The sequence below is a fragment of the Homo sapiens genome, chromosome 1 (genome assembly GCF_000001405.40).
Source record: "Homo sapiens chromosome 1, GRCh38.p14 Primary Assembly".
Classification (NCBI taxonomy): domain Eukaryota; kingdom Metazoa; phylum Chordata; class Mammalia; order Primates; family Hominidae; genus Homo; species Homo sapiens.
In genome coordinates this window covers 116715853-116726614 of record NC_000001.11, presented here as the reverse complement: position 1 = coordinate 116726614, position 10762 = coordinate 116715853, and positions in this window count along the sequence as shown.

Below are 10762 nucleotides of genomic sequence, written 5' to 3'. Positions count from 1 at the left end.
CATCCCTTCTGTTTTCATTATCATTTAAATATCTCTTTCTGAATATCCTAACCTGCTCGTTTCCATGTTATTTGGATCCTTTTTGTTTCCCCAAGAATCACCCATCTCTCCTACCTGACTCTGAGTTCCACAGGCCAGGAGTAGTGCATGAATGAATGGCTAATGACCCTCATTGAGAAATTCTTTCTATAGCCTGACACATGGAGCAATTCACTTCAACTCTCTGAGATTCCATTTTCTCATCTGTAATATTAGGATATACAATGATATCAGTGGTTTCCAGGAGGCTGGGGTACCTTCTCCTTGGGGGTCTACAATGATAGCAATGGAGCAATGTTTTTAAAAGCTCAAAAGAAAGTGCATGTGTTGCCAGTTAAGGCTATGTTGCCTAATATGAACACTGTCTCTTGCTCTGGTTGAATGATGTCAACTCTGCAGGTATCATAGATAAAATCATGTTGCTTAGCATGTGTATCCATCAAGATTCTTGGCTGCATGCAATAGAAACCAAGTCTAGTTGACTTAAGCAGAAAATAATTGCTTTGGGAAAATGTCTGCCAGCTCCAGAGCAAATGAAAAGACAGGAAGACCAGACTCTGGATATGCGCAGTAGCCAGGAAAAGCTGAGCAATGAAGAGCTCAGCCAAGGTCACACCACAGAAGCGGCATGGTTGGGATACCACTGGACACCAGACACCGACCCACTGGAACCACCAGGACATGGGATGTCACTGCCCAGTGGACTGCATTCCAAACCATGGTTGCTGCTTTGTGTTACTTGCTCCAGATGCAAAGTCCCAGGTGAGACCATCCAGTTGGCAAATTTTTTTTTTTTTTTTTTTTTTTTGAGACAGAGTTTTGCTCTTGTTGTGCAGGCTGGAGTGCAATGGCACGATCTCGGCTCACCGCAACCTCTGCCTCCCGGGTTTGAGTGATTCTCCTGCCTCAGCCTCCCGAGTAGCTGGGATTACAGGCATGCACCACCATGCCCGGCTAATTTTTTGTATTTTTAGTAGACACCGGGTTTCACTATGTTGCCCAGGCTGGTCTCAAATGCCTGACCTCGTGATCCACCCACCTTGGCCTCCCAAAGGGCTGGTATTACAGGCGTGAGCCACCGTGCCCGGCAGAGTTGGTAAATCTTAAGCCTTGTGTGCCCTTGTCCAGCTGCTGAAGGACAGGGACAACAAGTATTAGGCCATCAGAGGCTCTATTTTATTAGGAGAATTCCCCAAATATAAGAAGGAGATCAGCTGCTGGACAGCCCACAAAACGAAACAAAGCAAAATCCACTATGGTTGCTAAATGTTTATTTTTTGTTTATTTATTGATATATTTTTTTGAGACAGGGTCTTACTCTATTGCTTAGGCTGCGGTGCAGTGGTGCAATCATAGCTCACTGTAACCTCAAACTCCTGGGTCAAGCAATCCTCCTGACTCGGTCTCCCAAGTAGCTAGGATTAGGACCATAGGCATGCATCACCACACCCAGGTTATTAAATGTTTTTTATGACCAAAAACACCAACAAAACTTAACTGACGGTAGAAACACAATATTTTGGAACACGAGATCAATGGAAGAAAAAAATAATGAACAGGTTTAACGATTAAAAAAAAAAAGACTGACTGGAACAGGTATCTCTAATGTTGTTCACAGACTTAGACGCCCCCTGCAGGCAGGATGAAGGAATAAAGACTGGACTGATTTTCTCAAGCCCTTTCTTTCATTGACTATATGCCATAATAACCTGGACTTGTAGAATTAATCACTGCTTAGAAATAACTAGCTCATAGCTGCTACACATAAGAGAAAACAAAAGTAATAAACATGGTATGGAGGTCCTATGGTTTGAATGTGTCCCACAAAGTTCATGTGTTAGAAACTTAATCCCCAAACCAACATTATTGGGAGGTGGGACCTTTAAGAGGCTCTGCCCTCGTGAATAGATTAATGCTTTTCTCGCAGAAGCGTGTTCCTGGATAAAAGGATAAGTTTGGACTGCTTCCTGGTCTCTCTCGTGTCCATGCTTTCTTGCCCTTCCACCTTCCACCATGGGATGTCACGGCAAGAAGCCTTTCACCAGATGAAGGCCCCTGTACCTTGTACTTCCCAGGCTTTAGAACTGCAAGAAATAAATCTCTGTTCTTTATAAATTACCCAGTCTCAGGTATTCTGTTATAGCAGTACAAAACAGACCAAAACAAGTGGTTTCTTTTATATAAAAGAAATCTGAAGGCGGGCAGGCCCAGGTTGGTACCGTGATTTCATGGTGTCCATGAACCCAGGCCTCTTTTGTTTTTGCTCTGCCATCATTAGTAGTACAGGGCTCCCATCCTCAAAGACACTTCCTTAAGGCTGCTGGAGCTCCAGCCATCATGTCTGAATTCCACATAGGAAGTAGGAGGAAAGGTGAAGGGACAAAAGACAAGAGAGAAGATATAAACTGTCTGACCCCTCTTAAGACTTCCTGAAAGTCCTGAAATGTACATTTAGATTTAACAATGTCTGCTTGCATCTTATTGACCACCCTTAACTGTAAGATAGCCTGGGAGTTGCGGTCTTTTATTAGGGCACATGGTCACTCAAACATTGTGTGAGCAACTAGCAGTCTTCACTTCCCCAGGGAAGTCTCAAAAGTAGTGAGAAGTTTGGTTTAGAGGCCTTTGACTCTCCCTCTGCTCCAACTTTGTCCTCCCCTGAGTCAACTTTATGTGATATCACTTAGGACAAGGGAAGCTTCCAGGGAAGACACCAGCACTGAGGTCTTAGGACCACCTCTCTGCAATGTCTAGAGAGTGGTATGAGCCCTTTGAGGAGCTTCCTAGGAAATAACCAAACACTGAACATTTATTGAGCATTAACCTTCTGCCAGGCACTGTGTGAAGTGCTTTATCTCCACCCTGTTACCCCATCCTCACAACTGCTCCTCGAGGTAGGCACAATTGTGCCCATCCTGAAAATGAGGGAGCCAAGGATACGTGGCCATAACTTGCCTGATTACAGTTAGTGAGTAGGGACCAGGATGGAAACGTGTGTTTATCTGACTTCTGAGCCAGGATCTTAACCAACACGCTGCAGCTGTGCTGTCCCATACAGTGTCACTGGTCACACGTAGCTGTGTACACTTAGATTTAAATTAATTAAAGCAAAGTCAAATTTAAAATTCAGCTCTTCAACCATGCTGCCAACATTTCAAGAGCTCAGTAGTCGTGTGTGGCTAGTGGTTACCATCTTGGGCAGCAAAGCTATAGAACATTTTCAACATCACAGAAAGTTCTATTGGACAATGCTGTGCCAGAGGAATGGATCATTATTGACTTTCATTCGTCATCACAAATGGGATGATGAGAAACTTTTTTCTTGCCCTAGCCTCTTTTCCTGTTTTCCAGTTGTCTTGTCTTCATATATTATACAGCCCAGCCATACAAAGAGACAGAAGAAATTCTGAAGAAGCAAATACCAACCGAAGTTGAAAGTGGCCGCTTGTGATATTTCTACTGCGACAATACTTTCCACTCTGGGGTAGGGGACCATTGTGGAGGGCAGGGCAGGCTTGGTGGGGAGGATGTTCCCTGGTGTCTGCAGTCAGCTCAGCTCACAGGGTGAGCACTAGATGGCATGAATTCCTGAGCACAAAACCCTCTTATTTTTTAATTCTGTTGTTTAGCTTTTCTCTCCTTTCCCTACTTCGACACATGCCAAATGTGTTTCAGTTTAAACCTGCACTTTTAAAAGGTTGCAAAGCTCCCAGCTGCTGCAAAGTCAGGTTTTTCAGAACACATTTGCATCTTTTCTCAGTTGCTGCCTTAATTACACATAATAAAGGTATTTAGTTATAGACAAATAGCTGATGAGCCCGAACTATAATGAAAAGGTCTTGCCAAAAGCCATTTCCCTTGTCAAGAGAGAACTTGCTCAAAGACAGTGGGAAGCTGTGATTCATTCTTATGCCACAAGTGTTACTACAAGAAATTCAGTTCACTGGGAGTGGCTGGCACACAAACTTCAAGCAGTGACAAAGTCCAGAGTTCTCAGCTGTTTTCTGCAGCCACCACTGATGCCTTGACTAGAAATGTGTGATGAGAGAAGACCAACACCATTTGTGACTGGTTTAACAGGAGTCAGCAAACTTTGCAGCTGACCACCTATTTTTGTTAATAAAGTTTTATTGGAACACAGTCATGCTCATTCATTTACACAGTCACGCTCATGATTTATGGCTGCTTTCATGAGACAACAGTAGAGGTGAGTAGTTGCAGCAGACGCCATATGGCCTGCCAAGCCTAAAGTACTTAATAGATGACCCTTTCCAGACAAAGTTTATTGGCCCCTGGCTTAGAAGGTAGGAGTTGGACTAAATTGGAGTTCTCAGCCCTATCTCTGTAGGAGGGCTGGCACTGACCTTTCCCCTCTCACCTGGCCAAGATGACCATCTCTCCCCTGCATGACAGCCCTACCTTCTTTCTGCCTACCTGTCTACCTCCTGGCCTCCTGCATTCTATTCTCCTCAGCACAGCCAGAGCACGCCCCTTTGGAACATAAGCCATTTCATGTCACTCCCTTACTCAAAGCCCTTCAAGTGCTTCCCATTTCACAAAGAGTAAAATCCAAAGGCCTTCAAGTGGCCTGCAGGGCCCTATATCAGCTTCCCCGGCCATCCTAGCCTTCTCACTGAGCCTCAAACTGGCAGGCACTGTCTCCACTCAGAGGCAGAGGTGGCTCACTTGCCACCAAAAATGCCCATCATAGTGTGCCCTTGCTGCTGGAGGCAGCTGCCTAGCAAGATGCCTCAGCATTCAGGTGTGGCTGAGGAGTGGTTCTCCACAGCAGAACATGACGCGAAGTGGTGCTAGTCACTCCTACTGGGGGTGTGGGGAGGGGGTGTCTTAGGAACCATCTGTGCCTTCTCTACTCCCCATCTGCCCACTTACTGGGGAGGAGTTTGGGACCCTTGGAAATGCGAAAGCCACAAGATGGAAGTTGTTTGGATGTCTGGACCCAAATGAAGACTGCTGTCCATCAACCAGCAACATCATGTTGAACTGGAGCATGAGCAAGAAGTAAACATTTACTGTGCTGTGCTCTTATTGTGAAGTTTGGGGATGTGTTTGTCATGACAGTTAGTAGTACTGTAACTCACATAGGGCCTTTGTTCCTGCTGTTCCCTTTGCCTGAAATGCTCTTCTGCAAATACTTGCATGACTTTTCACTTCCTTCAGGTCTCTGTTCTGATGGCATCTTATCCGAGCAATTTCCGCAGATTACCCCATATAAAATAGAAGCTCACCCACCCCAGCATTCCTCTCTGCCTGACCCTCTTTTCCTTTTCCTTTTAGCACACATCGCTTGGCACAGACTTTACCAGCTCGTGGCTCGGTGCCTGAGTTGTTTGCTGTCTTTCTCCCTCCACTAGAATGTAAGTTCCATGAAGGCTGCCATCTGGTCAGGGTGTTTCCACATGCCCCCACCACTTAGTATGGTGGCTGTCACAGTGTGGGGGTGCCATAAATGTTTGATGGACACATAAAGAAATGAGTGAACAGACCAGCAATCTGGCTGTCTTCCTGATTATGTACACAAGGATGAATGGGGAAAATAGCAAGGTTTGGGGTAGGCGGTAGGGAGGAGAGAAGAAAGCAGAATGACACAAGTGGGGTGATTTTTTTGCAGTTTTTAATATTAGGTATTATTTGATGCCAGAGACAATACATGCACCAGCCATAGGGGGCCCCAACTGTCAAGGTGCTGCAAGTCCATGAAGGTGTGAGACTGGGAAACAGGTGGCACACACTGGGAGCATGGCTATGTGTTCTGCAGGGATCTCTGAGGCTCAGGGATGAGCATCATGATTAGCCTGTGGGTCAGGGAAAGCTAGGCAACCCCTAGGAGGAGTCGGCAAGAAGGAGAATCCAGAAGAGGCACTCCTGGCATCATGAAGAGCAGGTGAATTTCCACAGCCTGGTGAGTTGGAGGAGCCCTGAGCAGTTTGATACAGCATGAACCTAGAGGAAGGTGGCGGGGAAGGGAGGGGAGGCAGACAGGCCTGTGGGGCCCAGATCATGAACAGACTTGTTTGTTATACTAGGAAGTTTGAACTGTATGCTGAAGGCAATGGGAACCAAGCAAAAGAGGTTCAAGCAGGCCGATGGCATAATCAGATGTGCATTTTATGAGGCTCTTTCTGGCAGCAGCCTGTAAAAAAGATATGCATGGAAGTGAGATTAGAGGCCAGGTGAGGCAAATATATCAAGATGTCCTAGGGGTGGTCCAGGAACCCAGCACCAAATGGCTTTGAGACAATGCAAACCATGTGGCCTAGCTCTAGCCATGGGAGCCTGGGAAGCTGTTTTCACTTTCTTTCTCCCTGTGCCAGGTGAGGGGGTGGGTGCCATCTAGATCTAGTTTCATAAAACCTTGGGCTCCAGGAGAAGGCAAAGATTTCACGCAATGACATCTTGAAACCCTGATTGGGCTTCATGTTCTGCCTTTTTTCACCAACCAGGGGGGTTCCTATGGGGATGGTGGAGCCCTGAGGAACTGTTACCAGAAGCCAGTGCTGAGGCATAGGCCAAGGACCTTGAGGTCCAACTGAAAGGGAGGATATTTGGGAGGCCCAGGTGCCAGGTCGATCATGTTTTAAATGAAGTGTCTAGGGCCTTAGCATCTGAGGGGTGGCCAGAGAGGGGACTTTCAGGGTATGTAGACAAGGCAGCTGCATTTCAGCTGATTGGGGTTGGCATTCTCCAGGAGAATCAGCTGAAATGCAGCTGACTGGGGTGCATCCTTCCCAGGAGAGGCCAAGGAAGAGAGGGGAGATGTCAGGAATGGGTATCTGTAGCAACCCAAATGTCAACAGGAGATCTTTTTTTTTTTTTTTTTAATTTTTTTTTTTTTTATTATACTCTAAGTTTTAGGGTACATGTGCACATTGTGCAGGTTAGTTACATATGTATACATGTGCCATGCTGGTGCGCTGCACCCACTAACGTGTCATCTAGCATTAGATATATCTCCCAATGCTATCCCTCCCCCCTCCCCCGACCCCACCACAGTCCCCAGAGTGTGATATTCCCCTTCCTGTGTCCATGTGATCTCATTGTTCAATTCCCACCTATGAGTGAGAATATGCGGTGTTTGGTTTTTTGTTCTTGCGATAGTTTACTGAGAATGATGGTTTCCAATTTCATCCATGTCCCTACAAAGGACATGAACTCATCATTTTTTATGGCTGCATAGTATTCCATGGTGTATATGTGCCACATTTTCTTAATCCAGTCTATCATTGTTGGACATTTGGGTTGGTTCCAAGTCTTTGCTATTGTGAATAGTGCCGCAATAAACATACGTGTGCATGTGTCTTTATAGCAGCATGATTTATAGTCCTTTGGGTATATACCCAGTAATGGGATGGCTGGGTCAAATGGTATTTCTAGTTCTAGATCCCTGAGGAATCGCCACACTGACTTCCACAATGGTTGAACTAGTTTACAGTCCCACCAACAGTGTAAAAGTGTTCCTATTTCTCCACATCCTCTCCAGCACCTGTTGTTTCCTGACTTTTTAATGATTGCCATTCTAACTGGTGTGAGATGATATCTCATAGTGGTTTTGATTTGCATTTCTCTGATGGCCAGTGATGATGAGCATTTCTTCATGTGTTTTTTGGCTGCATAAATGTCTTCTTTTGAGAAGTGTCTGTTCATGTCCTTCGCCCACTTTTTGATGGGGTTGTTTGTTTTTTTCTTGTAAATTTGTTTGAGTTCATTGTAGATTCTGGATATTAGCCCTTTGTCAGATGAGTAGGTTGCGAAAATTTTCTCCCATGTTGTAGGTTGCCTGTTCACTCTGATGGTAGTTTCTTTTGCTGTGCAGAAGCTCTTTAGTTTAATTAGATCCCATTTGTCAATTTTGGCTTTTGTTGCCATTGCTTTTGGTGTTTTGGACATGAAGTCCTTGCCCACGCCTATGTCCTGAATGGTAATGCCTAGGTTTTCTTCTAGGGTTTTTATGGTTTTAGGTCTAACGTTTAAATCTTTAATCCATCTTGAATTGATTTTTGTATAAGGTGTAAGGAAGGGATCCAGTTTCAGCTTTCTACATATGGCTAGCCAGTTTTCCCAGCACCATTTGTTAAATAGGGAATCCTTTCCCCATTGCTTGTTTTTCTCAGGTTTGTCAAAGATCAGATAGTTGTAGATATGCGGCATTATTTCTGAGGGCTCTGTTCTGTTCCATTGATCTATATCTCTGTTTTGGTACCAGTACCATGCTGTTTTGGTTACTGTAGCCTTGTAGTATAGTTTGAAGTCAGGTAGTGTGATGCCTCCAGCTTTGTTCTTTTGGCTTAGGATTGACTTGGCGATGCGGGCTCTTTTTTGGTTCCATATGAACTTTAAAGTAGTTTTTTCCAATTCTGTGAAGAAAGTCATTGGTAGCTTGATGGGGATGGCATTGAATCTGTAAATTACCTTGGGCAGTATGGCCATTTTCACGATATTGATTCTTCCTACCCATGAGCATGGAATGTTCTTCCATTTGTTTGTGTCCTCTTTTATTTCCTTGAGCAGTGGTTTGTAGTTCTCCTTGAAGAGGTCCTTCACATCCCTTGTAAGTTGGATTCCTAGGTATTTTATTCTCTTTGAAGCAATTGTGAATGGGAGTTCACTCATGATTTGGCTCTCTGTTTGTCGTCAACAGGAGATCTTCTGAGACTCTTGGTTTGCTCCCAGATGCTTGGTAGCTTCCATGTGGCAGTGTCTACACAGCAACAGAACTCTTGATAATTTTCCCCAAGCTCACCCACCCATGTAGCATTTGTTGAGAATTCCAGGAATGGGAGAAAGGATGGAGTGGGGTCTCTCAGGGTATGTAAAACATACTTGGAGCTGAGCAGTGGGTGAACTCTAGGGGTCTGGCTTCCAACAATGAGTCATAAAAACTGGGAGAAGGTCAAGATTCAAGATAGCCCTTGTTTCTCATATGGTTTATGCAAAGCTCCTGTGCTGTGAGAGAACATTCTGCATTCAAGGAGTTTACAGACATTTAGGGTGGCTGGAGTGAGAAGTACAAGGAGGTGGGTGTATGAGCGAGGTTGAGAACAGAGGCCAAGTCAAACAGAGCTTTGTAAATCATGTCAAATATTTGAACAAATGTCTGAAACAGGTGCCCATAACTGGCTTTTACAGGTTCCCTGTGGCTCTCGTTATACATGAGTGGCATGGAGATTTCAGTTAGAAGCTTAGAAGGGCTGGGGTTCAATGTGATGCTTTGATATATGTATATATCGTGGAATGACTATATTAAGCTAATTAACGTATCTGTTGCCTGACATACTTATCATCTTGCACAATGAGAACATTTAAAGTCTACTCTTTCAGCAATTTTGAAGTTTATAATATATTATTACTAACTATGGTCACCATGCTGTGCCATGCTGAGACCATCTCAAAAACATCTTCCTCTTGTATAATTGAAACTTTGTACCCTTTGATCAACACTACTTGTTCCCCACCCCACTGCACTCCTCAGCCTTTTGTAGCCACCATTCTACTCTACTTCTAGAAATTCAACTTTTTTAGATTCCACATATAAGTGAGATCATGCTGTATGTGCTTTTCTGTGCCTGTTTTATTTCATTTAGCATTATATTATCCAGGTTCACCCATGTTGTCACAAATGACAGAATTTCCTTCTTTTCAAAGGCTGAATAGTATTCTGTTGCATATATTGTGTATGCATACCACATATTCTTTATCCATTCACTGGTTGATAGACACTTAGATTGATTCCATGTCTTGGTTATTGTGAATGATACTGCAATGAGAAGGAGAGTGCAGATATCTCTTCAACAGACTGATTTTAATTTCTTTGGATATATACCCGGAAGTTGGATGACTAGGTCATCTGTTCATTCTAATTTCCGTTTTTTGAGAAAGCTCCATACTGTTTTCCATAATGGCTGTACTATTTTACATTTCCACGGTCAGTGTACAAGGGTTCCTTTTTTTCCACATCCTCACCAACATTTCTCTTTTGTCTTTCTTATAATGGCCTGTTAGAAACAGGTGTGAAGTGATAGCACATTGTGGTTTTAATTTGCATTTCCCTGCTGTTGGCCATTTGTACATCTTCTGTTGAGAAATGTCTATTCAGGTCCTTTTTCCACTTAAAATATTGGATTGTTTTCTTGTTATTGAGTTGTTTGAGTTCCTTATATGTTTTGGATATTAACTCCTTAACAGATGAATTGTTTGCAAATATTTTCTCCCTGTTTATGTGTTGCCTCTTTATTCTGTTAGTTGGTTCCTTTGCTGTGTAGAAACTATTTAGCTTGTATTTCTGGTGCTACAGAAATACAGAGGATCATAAGAAATGACTATGAACAATTATTTGCCAAAAAATTGGATTTTTATGAAATCCAATCTAGATGAAATGGATAAATTTCTAGACACATACAACCTGCCAAAACTGAATCATGAAGAAATAGAAAATCTGAATAGATCAATAATTAGTAAGGAGATTGAATCAGTAATAAAAAGCTCCCCATCAAAAAACAGCCTAGGACTGGATGGCTTCATAGCTGAATTCTACCTAATATTTAAAGAAGAAAAATATCAATTCTTCTCAAACTCTTCCAAAAAATTGAAGCAGAGGGAATACTTTCAAATTCATTTCTCAAGCCTGCCTTTACCCTGGTATTAAATCCAGACAAGGACACTACAAGAAAATAAAATTACAGGCCAATATCCCTGATGAACATAG